General features: G+C 37.0%; 1 protein-coding gene and 1 pseudogene across 6 annotated transcripts in view, besides 1 other annotated feature; one reads left to right on the top strand and one right to left on the bottom strand.

Annotated features, from left to right (window-relative positions):
• DACH1 (dachshund family transcription factor 1) overlaps window positions 194–25,459 on the top strand; it is a 429,239-nt gene continuing 403,973 nt past the window's right edge. For all 6 annotated transcript variants that reach the window (NM_004392.7, NM_080760.6, NM_080759.6 and 3 more), the window contains exon 1: window positions 194–1,476. In NM_004392.7, the coding sequence (NP_004383.4) occupies window positions 629–1,476 (848 nt within the window). In that variant the 5' untranslated portion in view covers window positions 194–628. The remainder of the gene's footprint in view (window positions 1,477–25,459) is intronic.
• Window positions 13,195–15,743: an enhancer, noted in NCBI's record as "VISTA enhancer hs138". NCBI's record gives its function as "enhancer in: neural tube[5/5] | hindbrain (rhombencephalon)[5/5] | forebrain[4/5] | eye[3/5] | cranial nerve[5/5]" and the evidence as "EXISTENCE:transgenic organism evidence [ECO:0001131][PMID:17130149]".
• RPL35AP31 (ribosomal protein L35a pseudogene 31) lies at window positions 21,046–21,478 on the bottom strand (annotated as a pseudogene).

The following is a 25,459-nucleotide window of genomic DNA, read 5'->3' as shown; positions in this document are numbered from 1 at the left end:
CTCCAGTGTCTCGCGCTCTCGGAGTCTCTGCTCCGAGTTCCTGGTTGGATAATTTGGGTTAATACTAGTGAGTGAGGTTTTTGCGGCTTCAAAGGGTATTTCAAGTTTCCGGAGCTCCTCCCCTCTGCACCGTGTGACAACAACAACTCGTCCAGCCGGCAGCCTGCACTTTTCAGCTCATTTTCTCTCTGTCATTCCCCTCTCAATCTTTGATCAATGTACTTGCCAGGGAGAGCCCAAGTCCTTCAAACCTCCTCCTTTTCACCTTCATCCTTAACTTTGTGCTAGAGCGAGACCCACACAACAACAGCCGACCCTCCCCGCCCCACCCCCACCCCCAAACCAGCCCTCGATCCCAGCCCCCGGAGAGGACTCGCATTTCGACTTGCGGGACACTTTTGTGCGTTCCTCTCCAGAGCGCCTCTCGTGCTCGCCCCTCTTGCGCTCGCTCTTTATTACCTTCACCTCCTTTTCTCCCCCTTCTCTCCCTTTCTCCTTCTCGTTCTCTCCCGGAGTTGTTGTTGCCCCCCTCGCTCCTTCTCCCCCCTTTTTTCCCCTTCCCCTCCCGGGGGTGTGTGGCAACTTTTCCTCTCGCTTCTCCTCCGTCTGTTTCCCCTTATATGTGACCATGGCAGTGCCGGCGGCTTTGATCCCTCCGACCCAGCTGGTCCCCCCTCAACCCCCAATCTCCACGTCTGCTTCCTCCTCTGGCACCACCACCTCCACCTCTTCGGCGACTTCGTCTCCGGCTCCTTCCATCGGACCCCCGGCGTCCTCTGGGCCAACTCTGTTCCGCCCGGAGCCCATCGCTTCGGCGGCGGCGGCGGCGGCCACAGTCACCTCTACCGGCGGCGGCGGCGGCGGCGGCGGCAGCGGAGGCGGCGGCGGCAGCAGCGGCAACGGAGGCGGCGGTGGCGGCGGCGGCGGTGGCAGCAACTGCAACCCCAACCTGGCGGCCGCGAGCAACGGCAGCGGCGGCGGCGGCGGCGGCATCAGCGCTGGCGGCGGCGTCGCTTCCAGCACCCCCATCAACGCCAGCACCGGCAGCAGCAGCAGCAGCAGTAGCAGCAGCAGCAGCAGCAGCAGTAGTAGCAGCAGCAGCAGTAGCAGCAGCAGCTGCGGCCCCCTCCCCGGGAAACCCGTGTACTCAACCCCGTCCCCAGTGGAAAACACCCCTCAGAATAATGAGTGCAAAATGGTGGATCTGAGGGGGGCCAAAGTGGCTTCCTTCACGGTGGAGGGCTGCGAGCTGATCTGCCTGCCCCAGGCTTTCGACCTGTTCCTGAAGCACTTGGTGGGGGGCTTGCATACGGTCTACACCAAGCTGAAGCGGCTGGAGATCACGCCGGTGGTGTGCAATGTGGAACAAGTTCGCATCCTGAGGGGACTGGGCGCCATCCAGCCAGGAGTGAACCGCTGCAAACTCATCTCCAGGAAGGACTTCGAGACCCTCTACAATGACTGCACCAACGCAAGGTGAGTCGGGGGGGATAGCCCCCGCCGCCCGCGCCCCTTCCCACCAGCCTGCTCGCCTGCCCTCGCTCCTTTCCCGGCGCCGCTCGCTCTGCGCGCCCGCGAGCCGCGCGCCCCGGCGAGCGCGGCCCTCTCCTCTCCCTGCTCGGGGCTCGCCAGCCGCGCCCGACCCCCTGAGAAGTTGGCACCTCACCCTGCCCAGACCTCGCTCTTCGGCCCGGTCCTCCCCTTGCCCTCTGGGTCCCGGGGATGGGCTGCTGTGGGATGTGGGAAAGCCGAGCCTCGGGGCGGAGGGGACGAGAGGGAGGAGGACGGCGCCTTTGCTGGAGCCACAGCCCCCTGCCCCGGGCGCGCGGGCGCCTGGAGACCCCTCTCAGCGCTGCTGTCCGCGTTCGTGCGCTCCCCAGGACCTGGGTTCCACGGCCAGCCTCCCGGCACCGACAGGGCTGATCTGTGGCGCCGAGCGGTGTCCCGGGGGCGGGGGGAGGTCGTGACCTGCTCCGCAGGGCTCGGGGAGCGGGGAGACGCGCTCCGGGTGAGGGCCCCGCTGGGAAAGGCGAGGGAGCGGACCAGCACCCGAGGAGGGCACTTTGAGGTCGGGAGGGAAATGACCCGCGAAGCTGAGAGACCGGGTCCATCCCGGGGGATGGGCTCCGGGGACTTGAGCTCCGAAGCCCGGAGGGGAAGCCAGCCGAGGGGAGGGGTCTGTGTGTTCGCGCATGTGTGCGTGTGTCCGCGTGTGAGCGAGTGCGTGTGCAAAGGAAATAAAGGGGTACGGTGGCCCCGGGGCAGATGCGAGGGCAACCAGCAGGTTTTCTTCGGTAGGGGGAGGTGACCGATTGCCCGAGACTCAATGGAAGCTGAACTGGAGAGATTAGGAAGGAAAGCCACGGAGCGCGCTCTCTCTCGATCTCTCTTTCGAGTTCTCTGTCTCTTTCTCTCCAAAGTGTGTTTTCTTTCTGTCTTTCTCTCTCTTTTCTTTTCTTAAAGGTTAGTAGCTTAAGCAGCGAGCAGGTGCACACTTTGCACTGGGATGCTCAGCGGCCCTGATACTCTGTGCCTTGGCTTCCCCAGCCCAGCAAAGCGCGCGCACGGAGGAGGCGGCGGGACCGGTCCCCAGCCAGACCAGTTTTATGCTAATGAACGCTCAGTGGGGGAGGATCTACCAAGAGGGGGCGGGAGTGGGGCAACTTGTCAGTTTCGGGGTAGAGATGATCATTCCACCCCCTTTCACAGCGCCGCTTTGTCCCCACGGTTCTCTGCAAGGAAGCGCAGAGGCAAAAGTTCAGAGTGAGATTCCGGGAGAAAGAAAATAGGGAAAGTTGAAGACCTGAAGCGGGCACGTGGGAACTGCGCGCAAAATTTGCGCAGAAACTTCGGTACCCTCCAAATAAGTTTGAAGATTGAGAGAAGGAGCGGAGTTAGTGTGTGCTCCCGCAGAGATAGGGAAACTTAGGTGGAAAGGAAGTGTAGCAAGGAGACCAGAAGGACATTGGGTTGAAAAAGCGCTAGCTCTTTTTTCCATGGAGAAAGACTTCTTCTCTGTTAGTGCCCGGGAAGGCTGTGAAACGAAAAAGATTCGAATTCCAGTCCAGCAAATGTCCTATCCTGACCTAGCCAGAAATTCTTTTCCGTGTTTAGGTATTCTTCCTTCCATGGGACTTGGGTGTGTTTGGGCTTTGAACCTTCGACTATTTTGGGGTAAATGTTGTGTGTGTGTGTGTGTGTGTGTGTGTGTGTGTGTATGTGCGCGCGCGCGCTCAAAAGTATGGACAGGTGGCAGTAAAGATGGGGGGTGGTGGGGGTCGCGGAAGCAAGATCACTAAACGTCATTTACTCAGATAATTGGAGTTCTTGGTCGTGCAGAATGTAAAATATTTGCCCAAAATCTATATTAAAACTATTTGAATCAGGACAGGAAAATTGTTCTGGAGTTATGAAGAAAGCTAGGTGAAATTTGAAGCTAGTTCAGATACGATTGTTATAAAATTGTCTGCCTATCCAGTAAATTGGTGAATTGCTACTTTTTTTTTCTCTTTAATAATCAAACATCTACTCTCCTCGGTATCCTCTTTATGTGTTTCTTACAGCACACTAGATACTAGATAATTAAAGGCCATTTCACATACACACACGTAAACACAAAAAATTACTGGAGAAAACTTTCTTCAATGACTGCATTATAATAAATGTTATAATCAATGTTAAACTCGATTTATTCCCTGAATTTTTGCCTAGATTTGAAGTCCTCACCATGTGGTTGGAGAATATTCTTTAACTTTTAACTAAATATTTTTCAAGTTTTTTCCCCCTGAGGTTAACAACAGATCTGGAGTTTAAACTTGCAGAGCCAAGATAAGTTAAATCCAGTGGAACTGTTTATCTCTTCACAAATATCTCATCACTACTGTAATTATGTTTCAGTCACCTGGCCTTAATAATTTGCAATTACATGTGTTGCTCTAAAACCCTATTTCAAGTTATTTTTAAGTTAAAGGCGGGAAGTTTGTTGATTTAGTATTGTATTTGATCATATATCAACTAAAAAAGCTTACTCAAACTTAAATACATGCAATATTGTAGTCATTAACTTGAGAAGGTGTTTAGTTGCAAATACCTACCTTGGTTTTCCTAACTCTGCCACTGATTGAAGAAATTGAGAACTTGTAATGGAACTCCCTCTCACCAAATATACTGTTTACCCTATATTATTATTTTTAATGATTATTATAAGCATTATTGTCTTATTTCTTACCTTTGAAAGCTTTGAAATGTTTTGCATCTTGCATTTATAAAATTATGATTACTTTTTTCATTCAAGTCAAGTTTATATCTTTGCTGTGAAGAACCTTTTTTATTCACCTAGATGTATTGATTTATTTCACTTTGGTTTCTTTCTCCTCTAGCTACTTAACAGGCTAAGGGAGTAATTTATGTAGAGTATAAGAGAAGCTGAGCAAGAAGGGAAACTGTATAAAATTACTATCTATACACCCATATATGTGTGTATATAATTTATACATGCACATATCATAATTTATATACAATGAGAAACATCAAATCTTAGCACTCTCAGCTTTTTACAGAAACTATGTCTATCTCTTAATAGCATGGAATAATAATACCAGGGATTTTGAGGAACCGAAATGATGTTACAGAAAAGTAAGGTTCATAAACTTGCTCAAAGTGGCTCAGTAAGTTAGTAGCAAACCTTCGAGTGGTTTTAATTTGCTTAGGGCTATTGCATTAGTATGTTATCTATGAAAACTAGAATAAATGTTGAAGCCATCTGTCATTACCACAAGGAGGTGAAAAAGAGACTATCACCTGCTAGACAGTAAAGCTAAAAAATAAAGGTCTCAAAACATGAAAGAAATGTAAAGCTAAAAAATAAAGGTCTCAAAACATGAAAGAAATGTAAGGACATATATTTAAAAGTTGTCAAAGGACAAAGTCTGTCCTTGATCAGCTTCCTCCAATTATTATTTCAAAACTAAACATTAGTTGCATGAACTTGGCTGTTGCAACAGAGGTCAGTTAATTAACTGCTTACCATTAAATAACAACAAAAAAAGAAAAGTAATTATGTACATGGTCAAATCTCTGTTTGTATAAGTCAGTTCCCTTTTTGTAGATTTGGGTTAGGATTCAATTTTCCACGAATTCAGGTTTTAAAAAAGTGACCCTGTTTTATTATGTTATCTAAAATATTCATTTCTTTCATTGTTGTAAGAAGATAATTTTTTCTCAGGATCTTTCAAACAAGATTGTGATGTAGGTTCTAAGTAACCCTAGATTTGAGGGGTTTTTAACTTAAGTAGATTCCAGTTAGTCTTATATATTTTTTAGGCACATACATATATTCACAAACAGAATTCTTTTGTCTTAAAATACCATCCATGGACAAAATATTGAAAGTGTTTTATGTTTCAGTAGTAATATATGAATGAAATTGTAGTGTAAGAAGTACAAAACATTTTCCAACTCTTGACTCTATTTTTTTTTTTTTTTTTTTTTGGTTAGGAGTTTTAATAAAGATGGCAAACCGAACCAGTCTATATTTATTTAACATTTGCCCTGTTGCCTGGTTTTCAATGACACAGACTTATGCATTGATATAGAAAGTTTAACATAAATATAGATTCACTTCTAACAGATAATTACAATACTTGGCACAGAGAAATTAAAGAATTGCTTCAAATGAAGAGAGACTCTGCTTTTGAAGTTTTCGTATTACAGTAGATTAATGCTTCCAATAACGCCTAATGTCTCATTTTATATCATTTCAAAAAGAATAGGGCATAATTAGAAGACTAAAGCTTAAATATGAAAGTTTGCTTGGTTCCACAATTTATTTCTGTATGTTTTTAAAGTGTTAGCAAATTACACTTTAATAACTAGTGTATGAATAAAATATAAGAATATTCTAACCTAGAATTTACTTTGTTCAGTCAAATTATACTGCAGGATATAAGTTGTTGAGTTATTTGGATAATCTCTTCCAAACCTGTTGTTTTTCTAAGAGTTAGTCTCTCACAATATCGTGGTTATTTTTGTCAAAAGTGAACATGGTTATGATGATACTTTACTTTCTGAACTCCACATTTAGTTAATGCTCTGATGTAAGAAATTTGATTTGTACATATGATATTTTATTTTGTGAAGCTTCAAATATTATATAAAATAAACTACACGACAGGCTTTTTTCCTCTAGAAAAATTCTGGTATTCACATTTGACACATAGTTTTAAAATCTTCATTTTTTTAGTCCAAATCTGCTTTTTTTTTGGATTATTCTATTAAATCTCACTCCAGTTTCATGTCAACTACTGGGACAAATATTAACCACCCTCTTTTTGCCTCACTGCATCCCCCAACTCCCTGAGATGTGACACCCTATATTGACTAAAGTCTTGGCAGGATTTGAGCATAAATCACTCTTGTCTTTGGCGATTTACTACGTGTGATTCACCAGCATATGAAAACATGATATGCTTTATTGTTTCTCATTTGATGTTTTGTTTTTAGAGTATAAGTAGCATTAGTAAATTAGCTTAATGTGCAACCAAGTAGTTGTTATTTTAAGAACAATTTGTGCTTTAACTATCAATTAGTATTATTTTATCTTTCCAAGTTATTTTACTAAATTGCTTCATACAATTGCTTTTGTCAGTCAAGTAAAATAGTCATTTCGATTGCATTGTATGAGCAACATAGAAAACAACTACTGCAAAATATAATGGGAAATTAAACTCTCACAGGTTGTAAACTGTCTCCCTTTGAATCCTTGTCTGAAGAAATTAATTTGAACTATGCCTTCTAAATAGGTACAGGTGAGTCATCTAGATTTCATTAAACATTTTTATTTTAAGGTTTTTGTTACTTGGTTCTTTTAAAAAGTTAAACTTTGTTTGAATTTATCTTTCAAGTATTTCCTTTTCAGCTTGTTCACCAAAAAAAAAAAAAAAGTCACATTAAGTTATATATCTTTAGAATAACAGGAAATGTAAAAATGGATATTATTGGCTTGGGTATTTAAAAATGTAATTAAGATAAAGTTTTATCATTTTATGTTTGAATTGTTATAAAAATAGAATGACCTTAGCATATGTCAGCATGTGCCATTTTCTTACTGAGGTAATGCTTTGTGATTGGCCAGTTTAAGAGATGTATATCTGCATGCATGTGTGTGTGTGTGTGTGTACATACGTATGTCTAAATACTACATATTATATGTAGTATATTAATATATTTATATAGTATATGTAGTTTGAATATTCTAGCTAAGACTACACTTATATTTTCAGGCTTTGGGACTGCATTAAGGAGACCCTTCTCTATTATGTTTGTTATGTTCAATAATTAAATTTTTAAAGAAGAAAACTATGAATTAAGAGCCCACCTAATGGAGCTCAGATAAGTGTAACAGCAAAGGCTCTGATCTGCACAGATATGTACATCTCAGGCACAGCAGAGGCTCTGTGCAAACCTACATTTTGCTCAAATTTCTTGTTTCCTTCTTCTCAATCTGCCAAAAATATTTCTAGTAAAAAGTAATTTTTGCTACTGTGGCTGTCTTGTAACTAACTTTTATTTGCTGATATTCGCTTTTTAGCAAATGTCACATACAGGAATGACTTCATTAGGATAGTATAGTTAGTTTACCAAATTATTGCTTTGGAAAACAAGAATACCAAGGATAAGATATTTATATTTGGTCCACTAATTAGTTATTATTAGATTACTGGTGGATTACTTTATTTGTTACACCTATTTATTTTAAGGAGGTTTCTGAGAATCTGTTAAGAGTGTGTCCATTGTTGCTAGTTTTAGGCAGCTAATGATTAGCTTTATATATAAATGTACAAATGACAATGAAAAGAATTTTCAATCCACTATAAATTAGTTATTAGACAATCAATAAAAAGGTCATTGTTTTTCAAATTAATGATACAATTAAAATTAATTTAATGAATAGCAGATAAATGTCCAATTAAAAAATATATGTCACATCACATATAATGACCCAAATCACCACTTGATCCAAAGTCAAGGACCTTGAACCAAATGCATTTAAAATGTATTGGTTTATTCGGACATAGATTTCCTTTATAAGAGAAAAGCATTCGAATTCACCCATTTAAAAAAAATCATCTTTCATTCTTTCTAAATTGGACATTAAATTTGCCAATGACTGCATTGTGTTAAAGGTGTGGTCCTTTTGCTTTCTGATCCAAATTGGCTTGGAATTGATCCAGGATTTCAAGCTGGGATTCTTCTGCACATTTAAATGTATGTGACTTGATTGGAAGTTGTCAAAGACAACTCATTAAACTGGAAATCTCACTATGTCATTGTTTAATTGGTCTTTTTTTGTTGTTGTTATAAGTATATTGAAGTGTTGTAAACTACAAGCACAGCAACACACTGAATAGCCAGTTACTTTTTAAAAAAGTTTTAGAGAGTAGTGATTGATACTGAGAGAGAGACACACAGAGAGAGAGATACAGAGAGAGAGAGAGAGAGAGAGAGGCAGAGAGAGGCAGAGAGAGAGAGTGCTTAACTGAAGTATCTATAATAATGTACCGTACAGGTTGAATACAATACCTGGAATACATTACATTTTTCTAGCAGGAAGTAAAAGTGAAATAAGCCAGGCACAGAAAGACAAATACTGCATGATATCACTTACATGTGGAATCTAAAAAAGTTGAACTCATAGATGCAGAGAGTAGAATGGTGGTTACCAGGGACTGGAGAGCTGTTGGTCTAAGGTTACAAAATTTCAGTTAGATAGGAAGAAAATGTTGTACAACGTGGTGATTATATTTTCTATGATTTGAAAAATAGAAATAAATATACTTTGATTTGACTATAAGTAGATCTTTAAGAATCCTGAAGTGGATTTTGAAGATAGCCTATATTTTTGACAAAAAAAATATGGATATACTTTTAAAGCATGATTTTCATGAAGCAAATACTGCAATAGGCCACATAGTACATTGGTTGATGTTGATTGGTAACATTGAATAATTGAGAAATGTTTTTGTTTCCTTAGCGTATATGAATGGAGTGGTAAACATGAAGTATTAAAAAGTCACAGTGTTAAATGATCTTTGAATTTGTATGGTATCAAGTGTTTGTAAATAATTAGATTGCCTTTCCAGTTACAACAGGAAAAAAATAACCTTATTTTTCTTCAAGGGCAAACAAAATATATCTTAAGAAAGAAAGTGTACTACTTGAAAGGGAGATATTTTATGGAAACATACAGAAGCATTTGCAGTAAATATTTATCAATTCCATTTAAGGGATACTGGTCATTTCTTCAGTAAAGGCAATGAAAATAAATCTCTAGAATATGTTAACTAAGAAATAGTGTATTACATTCACTTATCAGGCAGATGGAGTATTTTGTTAAAATCTTAAACTGTATCCTGATATTTTATTAGTAGCAACAGTAAATGGGCTGTTTTATTCATAGTCTTATATTTTAAAGACATATTGTTTATGTATGAACAAAGTAAATCACTTAAGGTGTAACAAATCTTTGAACCCATCATAGTTCTGCTAAAATATACTGATGCATTCAACAGTATTACTTTCTATTTTATGTTTCAAATTTAGGATTTTTATTTAATTTGATTATTCAAAATGATATTATCTTCTTGAGTTAGGCACTTACACTTAAATAGTGCCTTTTGATTTTAAAAGAATAACCTGGAACACTTTTATTTTTCATAATACCTGTCACACATTTTATATGAGGATGAATGTTCTTGTGTGTGCAACAAGTGTAAAATTTTTATCAGTAGTTTAGAGAACTCTGTGGTGGATATTTTTTATATGTATTAGCATTAGCTCATTTGTACTCTATGCTTTAAATAATTGTCGTACATTTGGTAGAAAAGCCTTTACATACATGTATATGTGTTGTGTAGGAATACATTCACACACACACACGCAAACATAACATATACACCTGTAGGATGTAGGGCCACAGGACAAATAACTTAGGAAAATACAATTGGCTTTAATTTTACCTTTTTGTAGCACATAAAAACATGAAACAATACATCAATAAACAGGTCCTATTTTACTGAAATACAACAGAAAAAAAGAATTAATTTTAGAGTTAAAGAAGTAGTTTATACTTAAATATTTTAGATATAATTATGCAAGGCTATATGGTTATTAGGACAGTGATTAAAAACAGCTTAATTTTTCTAAACCTTTTTTATGATAATGTACTTTAAATTCTCTGTTTAAAAATATATGTATAAGAATTATTTTATTTGTATAAAATAGATATTAAACGATTGGGTATTAGAATCTGTACATTATTAAATGACACTACATGTGCTTGATGCCCTTGCTCTCTTTCTTTTATTGGTTTATTTCATTGCTTCTTGCACTTAGAGCCAGCATATCCTTTAGAATCAGTGAATAAATGATAGGAAAACAATTTCATAACATAAAGGAAAAGAGACTGTTCTAAAAGCTTTGCCATCAATGAGATGAGTTAGGAATGAGGTCAGTGGGTTAATCTGCAGGTCTACATAAGGAGATGTGTATTACCACTTCTTGCAGTGGACTATAATTGTCTTTGAAAACACCTAGTAAAGATCCAGTTAAATTGAAATCAATTACTTTCTCAATAATTCCATGGCCTATGTCAAGTCATTACGTCATCGGTAAGAGTGCAAGCAGGCATACATTTTTTGCAACATAGAAAGACGCTTATAAAACAGTGATGACTTAGAAGTTTCTGCTTCATCTAAAGCTTATGGAATTAAAAAAACTTTGTACAAAATATAAAACCTTGTACACAGTATTCGGTAAAAAGTTCATCTTTGCATTTAGATATTTACATAAATACAAGTATTTCACATTACTTTTTGCATCTTCTGGTAGGAGAAAGTATAAGTAAGTGAAAATAGTTTCAAAATATTTTATGATTGTCATCTCTGACACCTTTATTCTTACCCTCTAAGAATGCTCTGATAAGTGTGTACTATAATCAAAGATGAATATATGTCTGCTGTTCACTGATTTTTTTCTTACGCACTGTTGACAGTATGGTACATGCAGATTTGAACTTGTAGCCAGGAACAGTGCTTCCATGCTTCAAATTGCCAAAAGACCCCCAGGGACAGAAACTTGACCTGCTTTTATGAAACCATAGAATTACATTTATACAAGTTACCCCATGGGAAAGGAATGAACTGATCCCAATTCAAACCTTAATATTGGAGCCTTCTGGGTCAAATTTGATTTTTCTTTCTGTTAACACCTGTTTGGCTACCATATTTAGTACCTTTATTCTTAAGAAATTAAAAAAATATTATTCATCAGTGGTATTTCACAGTTAAGCCAAAGTGCCATCAAAATTTTGCAGCTATTTAAGTTTTCTCATGCTATTAAAATGTTACTTTTTAAAACAAAATTCTTCTCTTTATGTATATATCCTAGATTTAAGGAGTATAAACACAAATTTAATTAGATATAAAAACAACTATTTTGTACTTTTTAATCAATTTCTCTTTACTAATGAGTCAGTCCAAGTAGGAGAAGAAACTTTTTTAGGACCTTTTCCTTGTAATAACATTTCCAAATAAGGATTTTTCTAGGAATATATTTAATTTTTCTTAGAGTCACACTTTAAATGGTTATGTATCTAATTTTGCTTTTAGTTGGACCACCTGACAGGGTTTCCAGAATGCTGCTTTTGCTACTACTAATAATAAATGAAGGTGGTCACTGATAAACTGGATGCATAAAAGATATTTTTATTTTAGCTGGATTCACTTTACTTACATGAAATGGGCCTAAGTTGGACAGCTGAAGTTAACAATTTGTTCCAAATAAAGAAGAATTTAGGTGTGTAGTAGTTTGCTTCATTTCTGTACTATGCTATGTCATATAAATGCAAATGGATAACTGATATAAATGGGTAAGGTCATAGCATCTCTACTTGTTTGACAGTATTAAATGACTGCCATTAGATTACAGAATCAAGACCTACTTCTCCATATAGAAAGACTTGCTCTCAATGTTGTATACACCAAAAACATCTTATAGATGGTAAGGCAACACATGTATATGCTGTCACAATTATGATGGTTAAATAATTCCATCATCGGGTTTTGAAATTGAGGTGAGCAAATTCCTTTTCAAATTAAAAGTTAAAAAGAATTCCAAAGACTTTTTATTCTTTTCTCACTTAACATTGAATAAACCATTTGGATAAGTGGTTATTGGTTATTTCCCAATAAGAACCAAACATAAAAGTCTCTAATAATAATTATACTAAATCAATTCTTGGAATAGAGGAAAAATATTACAATTGCCAGTGGAAGGTATACCACTTTCCTTACTATCATAAGTCATGATCATCTAGGAAAAACTATTTGGAGTTTTAAACATACATTGTTGATTCTTTTTCTGTTGGCTGCTAAGTGACAATCCACAAACACTTATTTTCACTGTAAATTAACAATTTTTCTGCCTTGGCCTTATACTTATCATTTGAATGAAGATGAAAAATCATATCAGTTCTTTGGCTGTTTCCTAGTATCACCTGATGCCATATTTATAAAATACCAATATTTAATTATATACCTAATTTCATTTAAAAGTTTACCCCAACTAGTTTCATGGTGATTTAACATGGCTATTGCACTCCACTCTCTCTAACTGTGATGGAAGGAAGGAAAGTAGGTAGATCATAAGATCATTGTGCTGGTCTTAAAAGTAATCTATTTCAGAAAAGGCAACCTAATCTGACTTTTGTAATGGTGATGATATGAAGTTTCTATGACCTTTTTTGTCTTTCAGAGGCACTTTCTAGCTCTCTTTCCAATAATGATTGATGTTACACACCACATGAACTGGAAATAAAGACACGTTAAAAACTCTTGCTATAAAATGCATGAAAGGAGAGGGGAAGTTTTATTTTGTAGGCAATCCTCTAAAAGTAGAGTAATCCTTATTACTGCACAGAATTGTACATGATACTCAAAATAGGAAGCCTTTAGACACCAAACTAAATTTCATCTTCTTACATACCCTTGTCATCCAAATTATCATAACCCACCTTTATTTTTTTTTTGAAACTCTAGTGAAATTGTGCATGAAATAGAAACATTTTACCATGAAATTTACCTATAAACATCTAGCCAAAAACAGAACAAACTCTGGATTTTTGAGCTATTGATATTTAGAACAGATCCCTTAAATTCAAAATTGTGAAATATAATACAATTGTATTTAATTACAGTATTTTATTCCAAGCTTAGGAAATAAAATTAAAATGGCATATTTGATCTGGAGTAAACTTTTTTGCTCTCTTTTTTTTGGAGAGTGGGTTAAATAAGGGCCCATGACAGGAATGCTGTTTGTTTTTCACAAAAGTTGTTTGTGATTTCAGGTACCCTTGGGAAATCTCTTGATCAGTTTCACATCTGTTCCTGTCAAAGTGGGTGCTAAGATACCGGTCACCCAGCAACCATGTCCAAGAGGGAATTGGGCCGATAATAACTTCAAAAAGGAATGACAGATGCTAGATTAGGATGAAAGACAAAACGCATGAAAAATGAGCTTGTTAGAATCAAAAATTTGTTCAAGCACCTTTATGCAAATTAAATGAATATTGAATATTTGCATGCAGTAATTTCTACTTTTTCATTTGATTGAAAGGAAAAGAATAGTGCATTTAAACTCACAAATGTGACTTCTTTCTTTTGTACTAATTAACATACAAAGCAGAATCTCTTTTTTAAAAATCAGATTAGCCACCTGGGTTCTTAGAGCTCCACTAAGTATATTATAATGTTTTTCTTATGAAAATGGTACATTTTAAGAGGACTTGGTTTATCTAATTTTTTAATAATAAACAGTGTCATGTGAATTAAGATTATTTTAGATGAATATAAATCCATTTCTTGAGAAAGCCTTTCAAAAGTAACCTTATCCTGTTGTCCTTGAAATTGGTTAATGTACATTAATAAAAGATCACTCAAGATGAGTTCACACCAAAAGCACAGACTTCTCATTGACTGGTTAAATAACAATGCATTAAAGTAAAGCAGAGTGGTGTGCCCTAAAAGAAAGTAGGCAGAAAGATCTCTTCAAAATTTAAGATGCTCTTTGATACATTACCAGTTTTTCTATTGAACTGTTCAAATACTAATCAGAATTTAGAAGAGCCTGATAAAATGTAGTGATTGAGAGAGGTTTCTGAGTCTTGGTTTAGCAATGTCTAATGTGGTCACGTAGAGAAATTGATTTTCTTCAGAAATTAATTAATTTTTCATATCGCCCTAAGCTGCAGTTAAAAAGAGTGCATACTTGTCTGTTTTTTCCAGAAATATTGCCTAATCATATTAATACCATTGCCCCAAGGATGAAAAGATAATTGTACAAATGCATTTGGAAATATGTATCACTGAGTATTTATGATTAAATTATGCAAATGACCCAGCTCTCATCCTTTCCAGACCCAGATTGTCTAATTAGGATTGATATGCTGAATAGATGTTCCAGAATTTGAATACAAGCATGTCCAAGGAGCAGAAAATTGGAAATGACAAGGCTGAAATCCAAAGAAAAGTGTCTTTCGTTTCTATACTTTGTTAATGTGCTGTTAGCAGTTGAGGGTTTTTTCCCTCCCTTTGGCTATTTTGTGGCTCATATGTCCTTATTAGAAACAAGTATGCAAAACAAATTGAACTTTAGCCAATAGCATTTTATTTGTATTTGGTGCTTATTTAAAAATAATCTCTTGGTCATTCAAAGAGAGCATCGCTATTCCTTTGCTCCAAACAATGTAAACTTACCCTTAATTGGGTGAATTTTTAAGCAAACTTCCTCTGAATTAGGATCACAGCTTTATTTCAAAGCTAGCTCTCTAAACTTAATGGTATACCAGGACAGTATTTTCTAAGGATATGCTTCTTGAATCTATAGTTCATTTGTTCATTCCTTCACTTAAATGCCTATCTTCTTGTAGTTGGAGAACACTGTTTAAGCAACAGTTCTGATTAGGAAAAAAAAAAAAAAGCAGCACTTTAAATGTAACAATGTTTGAATTTGAGGTCCTCAGCAGGCTTTCTCCCTCATTGATTACACTCATTCATCTCAGATGGAGGGGTGGTCGCGAAGAGCAAGGAAGGGACTGAACTGTCAGGACTCCAGCCTTTGTTAAGCAGCGGGTAGTCACTGCCTCTGAACTCGGCTGGCTCCTGCTTCCCATCTGCAGGATGATGGATTGCTATGTTTAATACATTTGAGCTTTTGTCTGTCATAGTGTGGACAGACAGTACTATCAGTGATTTCAACAGTGATTAGAAAACAGTTTCAAACCATTCCTATTGGCCAGAGAGCTTCCAGAAATGTCTGATGAAACATACTCATTGGTACTCTCGCCATGTAAACGTGTAGTTTAACTAGGCGGAGATTGTACACTCACTGTTTAAACTGATGCAGAAGCCCACTGAGAATGACTAAACCACATATCAACTTTTGAAGAAAATACACAAGACAATTTTAAGAATCTCTGGGGTCTCAAACTAAAAATTCATCCGAAGTAGTCCCAAGTTTCAGATGAATTTGTATTCTTTATATAGTAACAACATGTGCTTGATGGCAGGACTGTATTCCATAAATTATGATGTCAGTTGTTGCTATGCTCATCAGTATTGAGCTATCTAGCAATATTGGGGTGGGGGTTAGAATGTGAGGACTATGTGAAAGCAGTAAGACAGGACTTGGCATGTGCTACGCTGGGATTTGCTGAGCTGTGGGGGCTTTGTGGTTCACAAGTCCAAAGGGTGAATGATTTCAACAACAAGAAGGCCACTATATACCAGCTCAGTATTCTCCCTGGAGTGTCTTATTCTATTTACAAAACTGCTGCTAATAAATACAATTAGCTAAAGGAAAAGAAACTATTCTTTTAAGCCATTAATAATATAGGCAAAGTTTTATTTCAAGAAGGGGGCATAATAAATAAATCAAAATGGCCAATAACATCATTATTTACTAGTTATAATGTAATATACTAAATGTAATGTAAATTATAATGTAAATTATAAAATGTGTTTAAACATGGAGTTTTAACTGTAGCAGTAAATAGGTAATTATTAAAATAATAATCCAACCAAAGTTTTGAAACAAAAACCTAAATCAGGAGAAGCTACTTGCCTTTGATTAATCTCTATTAAGAAGGAGGTTAAAGACAAAGTTTATGTGGTCAACAGCAAATGTCTGATGAGAATAAGAACTCCAGATCTTAGATTATATTTCCTCTTACTGATGTTCTGACACTGAAAAATTTTCACCTGGAATCCTTTCAGTAAAGATTTCTGGTCTTGAATATGTGATCGTAAGCATACTCATGGACGTACATATCACAGCACAAATGCGCACATACACACATTGCATTTCTTTTGAACTAGTACAATAGCTAAAGATTTTGTCATTTGACATTACTTGTTTGGTAATAAGGATAGGTTGTACTGTACCTCCTGAAAGAGTTATAAAAATATTCACATATTTTACAAATTGTCTTGTTCATTGTTGCATTTTAAAGTTATTGAAATAGTGCTCAGCTTAAAAGCTGTGCATTCATTCAGCATATTCTAAAGGAGTCATTTGTCAGAGTGACTCAAAGACAGTGGCCATAAGTCCTTCTGTATGGAAATTATATAACTGGGCTTAAGTAAATCTGAATTTTTAAATCCAAATTTTCACAATTTATATAGCACATATATAGTGAATTAATGTATTACTCCTCAACATTTTTGTACTGAATCATGTGTGGTTTTTAAACTTTTAATAGTGAAATATTAAGTAGTTTCTTATTGACTTTATACTTGCACGTCGGAGGTGGGCAGGGAAGTGGCGAAGTGTTCATTCTTTTAGAGAGGGATAAGGTATAGAAGGAAGCTATTAGCAGGTCATATCTCTCAAAATCACTGTGTTGGGAGGGAGGAATCTTCTATCAAGTCAAAGGGAAATGCATGGTTTGGACAACTAGAGTTAAGGATCCTGGCCTTGCACTCCTAGTGGAAGATTGCATGGAAGGGCCCGAAGGTGTTGAGTAATACTCTGTTTTAAAGTAGAGCTATCTCATGAAATGAACATAAATTACTCTGTTACATTACTTCTCTAACTATTTGTTAATAAAATTTAAGGAGGTAGCCAGTAATCAGTAGGGACTTAGGGTATCCTGACTGGGAGACAGACTTTAACAAGAGGAAGGAAGTTTTGTACCAAATGTACTGATGTATACCTATGAGAGCTGTAGATCCTTCCCCAACATATTATAGGAAATATAAGTGCTTGGCAAATTCAAATGTGTATTTTGTCCATAGATGGACCTGTTTGGGCTGTTCAACTAGATCTTGTGCAACATTAGGAGTGTAAGCGTATGTATACATTTTTGTGTACACACGTCTGGATGTACACTGTAGGTTTTCAACTCCTGTTATACACATTGTTAGTCTTATGTTTAGTTAGGCACCATAATTACAAAGTAATACAAGTCATTTGTCTTACTGTAGTTAAATAAACAAAAAATACCTGCTAGAAACTAAGTGAATGAGTTTCTCATGAAGCTAAATGAATGAATTTGATATCTGGAAATGTTTCAGAGTGGAAGAATATTAGAATCTTCTCTGATCTGCTCCATCTGTCTCTAGTACAGTGGCCTCTACATGTGTGCACAGCAGCTCTGGTCTTAGTGTCTAGCTATTACTATTTGGTAGATCCATAGATGGGGGGGAAATAAGGAGTCAGGCCAGCAGGTTCAACTTCTTATTTCTCAGTAGCTTCCTATAATGATTCCACCTCTAATGAGGTGAATTACTACTGCATGAAAAAGGAGAAAAAAGGGTTTTGGCCATCTTAGCTAATAAATCACATTGACTGCCTGGCTGATCAGATCAATTGTGCATAAATCAGTGCTTTAAAGAGTCTTAAAATAAGATTCTACCAAGACCAGTCGATCCACAGGCTTGTGTAACGGCAGGTCTCTTGCCCATAGCAAACTGTGCAGGGGTTCACAGTATTGAGACAGTTACATGTGGCCAAATGTTGAAATGAATGTTTCACATCTCAGAGGCATGGCTCTGGTGTGTAAAGTAGTTAGTTGTGACTGTCAATGGAAGTATTTTCATCTCCTCCAGTTCACACTTGTTACTTAAGGTAGCAAGAAAATTTAATTCTGAATACATACACAAAACTCAGTTTTTTAAAGCGTTAGCAACAAGTGTAATTTTTAGGAAATGTTTCCCACAAAAATATCATTATGTTATTTCAAAAGAAATTGTCATTAATATCCAAGGGAAGTATTTTATTATCACAATATCTCTAGATTTTAGATTAACTAATGTATAGACACCGTAGGGTCATAAGAAGAGTCAGGAAATTTGATTTTAGGTTCCAAGTATGTGAATTGCCTGGGTGAGTGATGTCGGATAGTGGGAATAATGGAGATAACTTTTCTCCTTATTTCAGAAGGTTGTGAAGATAGGAATGCGATTAGTTATTTGAAACTACTGCAGAAATTGTAAGGTGTGTTTCAAGAATTGTCATCTGGGCCAGGTGAGGTAGCTCACACCTGTAATCCCAGCATTTTGGGAGGCCAAGGTGGGAGGATCACTTGAGCATGGGGGTTCCAGACCATCCTGGGCAACATAGTGAGAACCCCCCCATCTGTACAAAAAAATTTTTTTTAATTAGCCAGGCTACTTGGGAGGCTGAGACAGGAGGATTACTTGAGCCTTGGAGGTCGAGGCTCTGCAGTGAGCTGTGATAATGCCACTGCACTACAGTCTGGGTGACAGAGTGAGACTGTGTTTCCAAAAAAAAAAACTGAAAAAGTTGTTTTCTGTTTAGAATTCCCAACTGAATTTTTAAAACTCTCTTACCAGAAGAGCTTACAAAGCACGAAGAAAAATCTATTTTTGTTCTTGCTATCACAATTTGCTCTTCTTTCTAAAGAAATACCAATTAAACTATAACAATCTAAAGGAAGTTGTGAATTCTGAAAAATTACAAAGTCCTTATATACATATAACGTTTATTAAAATTGTATTAACACTAACTTTCAAAGAAAATTTGAATGACAGATTAACATGGTTAAATTTTTGAGAAGCAAGATAAGACAAACATAGTCATAGCATATGTAAAAAAATACCATTTTTTTGGGGGGGGATAATGGCTTCAGTATCTATGGTAACTGTCATGCAACTCTATGAAAACAGGAGATTCTATAGAAAATTAAAGCGGGTATTATTGAATCTCTGATTTCTTTTTAAGTAGGCCAGAGCATTCTATGATGGCTAAGTCTCCAGAATTTTCTTAAACTAAATACAAAATTTATAATTATTCTGTACCAAGCGTCTCCCAGCACAGTGATTTTGAGAGATATGACCAAGCATCTCAAGATCCCCTAAATGATTATTTTCTGTAGTCTCCCGTTTTGAAAATAAATTTGAGCTAGGCATTCAACCATTTAGCAAAAACTTGGTGCCTGTCCAATATTTTGTGAACACATCAATATAATATTACCTATATCCGAATACTATTGTTCTTCCTTTGTCAGTAGATTGATTGCAGTGCCTTATGTTAATACACCTTGTTTCTCCCTTATTATATTGTGAAATTTAGTAAGTTGTTAAAATCAGATCTAATTGATTTTCTCCATGGCATTTGGCTACAAAAGCATCTCATATCCAAAATTCACCACAGGAGAAGAAATCCAGGTGGATTCTTTTGTGGCATTTTCACTTGTGTATTAAAAATTGTGAAATATTTTTCATCACTGTTAACATTTTAAAATGTAGCTATATAGCTACTTGCTGATAGAAGATGATACGGCGATTTTTCAAAGTCATAAATAGACTTTATAACTTGAATGAATTCAGTTTCTGGTAACTAACATTTACTTCCCTGGGATTATTGTGGTGTATAGTTTTGTATCTATTTGTGCTAAAACCCTCAGATACTTTCTAGCACATAGTAGGCACCCATTATAAATGCAATAGACTTATAAGAATTTTGTTTGCATATTATTGAATTACTTGCAAATGCTCTTATGAAATTCATAATTATGGGGCATTTTGATTATGACCAATAAATTAAAATAGGAATGCAAATACATATGTTTTAGATTTTTATATAGAAATAAAAACAAACAAATGAAAATATATGTAACACTAGTTCTTAGGTATATTACAAGATGTCTAATTCCTGGATGCTTCCCATATGCTAATGGTAGTTTAAGCATAAACATATAGACTTCATATATGTATATACTCATATGATTTTATAGGGCCGAGGTTTTGTCTTTACCTTTATTATTATTAATTAAGGTTTGTCTATCAGATTAGTTATGAAAGGTCACCAAATGCATAATTTTTGAAGTATCTAAACATTTAAATTGAGTGGTCAGACCAAAAATAAGAGTATATGTATTAGCAGTTTGATAATTACATGCTACTATTTTTAGTGTTTAGTGTTTGATAGGGATTATATTAAATATTTTAAGTACGTGGTCACCTTCACTCCCAGTAACAGCTAGCAGAAATAGGTTCTAACTATTAGTTTCAAAGATGAGGGCACTAAAGATCAGAGCAGTTAGTTTACTTGCTTAAGGTTTGACAGCTAGTACCTGACAAGTAGAGGTAATAGAACCCAAGAAATCTCATTCTGAAAATTTTATTTCCTATTATATTGTCCTATTCAAATAGTACTTAACCAAAGACTATCTATCTATCTACCTACCTACCTATGGAAGAGTCTGGCCTTGTCGCTCAGGCCGAGTGAGGTGGCGCCATCTCGGCTCACTGCAAGATCCGCCTCCGGGGTTCAAGTGATTCTCGGGCCTCAGCCTCCTGAGTAGGTGTGTGTCACCACGACGGGCTTATTTTTGTATTTTTAGTAGAGACGGGGTTTCACCGTGTTGGCCAGGCTGCGCTCCGAACTCCCAACCTCAAGTGATCCACCCGCCTCAGCTTCCCAAAGTGCTGGCATTACAGGCGTGAGCCACCACGCCCGGCCGATTTGACAAATCAACTTTTATTTATTTACTTTTCGTTAGTCTAAATCTTTGAGAGGTACAGCATCACATGGATTCTGTGTCCAGTGGCCTTAGCAGGAAGATTGCTTCGGAATTTGGCATGAACCATGCCGCTGTTTCCGTGCGCCGGAGTGAACCTTCCCCAGATAACTCTGGATTTGTTTGGTTTGCCGCCAGGAGTCAGTGTGCTGTTCTCGCTTTGTGTACATAAGCGCATCTCTTGCCCAAATACAATTCAGTTTCTTCTTGGGCATAAACACCGTCAATTTTGAGAAGAATGAGCTCCCTTTGGTTCTGGAGACCCACTCCGCTTATAACTAGCAAAAAAAAATGGCCTTCGACCACAGCCTTCCAGACGTATTTTCTTTTAGAAGTCCTGTTCCCAGCAGGCCCCATAGGCTCCAAGACGGCGGGAAAAGACTGAAAAATGTTAACGAGTTCGTTATCATCATAGGGACTCTTATCACACAACAAGCAGTACCGATAAGGTCATAATTTGCTTATAAGATAAAATTTAAAATTGTAGTGTTAATTTATTAATCTAATTTATATCTTCAGATAGTGGTCCTCAGTGGGGAGAAAGTAATACATAAGGATACTGGATTATGGTCTATTATAATTCCAGTCCTTTCTTGACAAATTCTAGTTCACTCTCCATACTTATTTCACAATTCCATCTCGTTAATACTGTCAGAGTAAGCTATTTTGATTATGGCTTGTAAAGCCTACTGTAGGCAGTTTGTAATAAAGTTTCTTTCCAGTTTTTAAACTGATATGTAACTATGGCAAGTTTGGGAGTAGGAACTTTTCCTTTACATGCTGTAATCTAGAATCAGCTTCATCATCCCATGTCAATGACCCACTTGTATAAGTTCTTCCATCCAGTTAGTTTGCCATTTTTTGATGTCTTTAGATTATTATTATTTATTTTTCACAGCAAAAAAGTATTATAGTTTGGTATTTGGCATCCTCATATTCCATATGAATAACTTGTTTTTCATATTGGCACACTTTCATGATGTGCAAATTCCTTAGTGGGGTAGTTCTTAACTTTGCCCATCTGTGTTCATTCACTTTATTTATAATAACATTTTTAGAAAATTGACATATAACAATTGCACATATTTATGGGATACATAATGATGTTGTGATACATGTGATCAGATCAGGGTAATTACCATATCCATCATCTCAAACATTTATCATTTCTTGGTGTTGGGAACACTAAATAATCTTCCTTCTAGCTATTTGAACCTATATCACATATTATTAACTATAGGTACCCTACAGTGCTATAGAACACTAGAATTGACTCCTCTTATTTAGCTGTAATTTTGTGTTGTTTAACAAATCTCTTCCTCTTCCCTCCTTTCTCCTGCCCTTCCCAGCCTTTAGTATCCACTGTTCTACTTTTTACTTCTGTGACATCAACTTTTTGAAGCTTCCACATGAATGAGAACAAGTAGTGTTTAACTTTCTTTTTCTGTCTTAACTACATTTAACATAATGTACTCCAGTTCTATCCATGTTGCCTTGAATGAGAGGATTTCATTCTTTTTTATGGCTGAATATTGTTCCACATTTTCTTTAATCAAGTGTGGGTAGTAACAGTTTTTCACCAGGTTAGTTATTATATAGGGGAAGTGATGGAAGTCTTATTAAGGTAAGGAGTTAACGGTGGTATAGCTAAATTTTGTGAGTTTTTCTGTTAATGTTTAGTGTCTCATCAATGTCATGTCAAAGTCTTGAATCACAAAAGATCATGTATAAATGATATATTGCATAAATCAAAAACAAAAAAAGTATTATTTCTTAGACATTTAGGAGAGGAGGTATAGTATTTCTATAAAATATTTAGCAATGCCTCCCCTCTTTTTAATGGTGGTTTGTTGAATTACATCAACTGTATGTTGAAAAAGTGGGCTGCATCCTGATGTTTCTGATGTTTTTTGCTTCTACTCATGATTGAACCTATTGGTGGATGACTAAATGCATGGATTCATTGCCAACCCCTGCCTTGCTTGCCTGTCCAGGATTACCTGTACTATTTATGCACGACCTTATGTCATTTCAAACTAACAGTATTTTGTGAAACTAAGTAAATTCATGGAAACCTCTGTAGTTGAGCCTTAAAACCATAATTTTAAGCATACCAGAATCACTCAGTTCTAAATTCTATTAATGGATGCTCTTGGAAGTCTCAAATCTTTACTTTTTCTTTTGTAACTTTTAGTGCTAAGATTCAGGTGAGGGGCCCTTCTGTGGGAAAATAAGGATATGCTGAAGGAAGTAGTGCCATTTTCATTTCCCCTAGAGACTTCTGTCTTAATGGGCTGGCTTTGTCCTTTTTCTCCTATGCAGTTTGATTCTTCGCATTTATGACTTCCCTAGGGCAATAATTTGCAATGCTTTGCAAATAGTATGCTCATTTAAATATTGATAAGGAATAAATGTTCCTAGTTTAAGCAATGGGCAAAGCTGCCTGTAACCTGCACCATAAACATATCCTCTTAAATGACCCTGATACAATGCATGGTTGGTGTGCTTTCCTTTGGTTCAATGTACAACGAAGAGTGTTGCACTTGGGGCTTGGTATATAATATATTTGAAGGGAACTTTCAGCCTCCCTTGTATGTGTTTAATAAACAAGAAAAGCTTCTTGAAGAATTGTAAACTTCAGTCTAGTGTGGAAAATTTGGAACATAGAGTACTATCATTTTTCAAAATCCAATAGAATCCTAGAAGCATCAGTACTATGCTTTAAATAACATTCATGATTGGGCACAGTGGCTCACACCTGTAATCCCAGCATTTTGAGAGGTTGAGCTGGGCAGACTGTTTGAGCCCTGGAGTTCAAGACCAGTCTGAGCAACATGGTGAAGCCGTGTTTCTATAAAATACAAAAAAATTAGCCAGGCATGGTGGCATGTACCTGTGGTCCCAGCTACTAGAGAGGCTGAGGGGAGAGGATTGGTTGACCCCAGAGGTTGAGGTTGTGGTGAGCCATGATTGTGACACTGCACTCCAACCTGGGTGACAGGGTAAGACCCTGTCTCAAATGAATAAATACATAAATAACATTCAGTACATTTAAAAATAACTTAAAAAGTGTAATAGGATAGTTTGTGACTCAAAGGATAAATGCTTGAGTGGATGGATACCCCATTCTCCATAATGTGCTTTTTACACATTGCATGCTTGTATCAAAACATGTAACGTATACACCTACTACATACCCATAAAAATTAAAAATTAAAAAAATAAAAATAACATTCAGATAATGCAGGATAGCAAAAAAGAAGCCATACACATTTTTCATAGTGCAGTAGTTTCAATATTTAAATGATAGAAGTGTGTCTGTTCCATAAATTATAAAATGTTATTGAAAATGAAGATTCTCTTTAAACAAATCATGCCTCATCTGAGCATTCACCTTGTTAGCCAGTGCTCTAACAAGACACCCAATTGACAAGTCAGAAGAATAGATATCCTTGGATTGTGAAATCATTTTCAGCCTATTGTTAACCTTACTGAGTAAATTGTAAGGGGAAATATTTTAGTATTTTAAAATTTAACTTTGAGTAATAGGTGAGTATTTAAATATCTTCTTTTTTTTTTTCTTCTAACCTCCACCAGCAATTCCCCATAATCCTTTACCATCTTATTTCCAACTCTCCTTGGAATTCATGCCATTCTTTTCTCTACTTGTCACATTACTCTGCTATCAGAGTCCTTTATAAATATCTTTTTAACCTTTTTAATCAGACTGGGTCATACTCTGTCACCCAGACTGAAGTGCAGTGGTCTGATCACAGTTCATTGCAGTCTCAACTTCTGGGGCTCAGGTGATCCTCCCACCTCAGCCTTCTGAGTAGCTGGGACTGCAGATGTACACCACCATGCCTTGCTAATTTTTTTTTTTTTTTAATAGAAATGGGGTTTTTGCCATTTTGCCCAGGCTGGTCTTGAACTTCTGGGCTCAAGCAATCCACCCACTTTGGCTTCCCAGTGCTGGGATTACAGGTGTGAGCCACCACGCCCGACCATAAAATTTGCACTATAAAGCGTTTTCTCCAATTCTGCTATCAGTATTATTTTTTGTTCACTTACCTTATGCCAAGCACTAATTGGAATGCATTTCTTATCTCACTTAATCCTCATAGCAGTCTTATCTCCATTTTATAGAGGAAGATATTGAATTACAGAGAAGTTAAATAAATTGCCCAAGGAAACAGGTACTAAATGAGTTATCTGAGGCTTTCTGATTCCAAATTCTACACTCTTTAGTACACTATACTTGCAGCCTAAAATGAGTTGTATAACCCATTTGAGCTTCAGTTTTCTCATTTGTCAGTGAGGGAGCCTAATGCCTAACCAGCAAGATGAAAATTTGGGGAAAGG

Source organism: Homo sapiens, chromosome 13, assembly GCF_000001405.40.
Source record: "Homo sapiens chromosome 13, GRCh38.p14 Primary Assembly".
In the NCBI taxonomy this organism is placed as follows: domain Eukaryota; kingdom Metazoa; phylum Chordata; class Mammalia; order Primates; family Hominidae; genus Homo; species Homo sapiens.
This window is presented reverse-complemented; position numbering and strand designations above follow the sequence as displayed.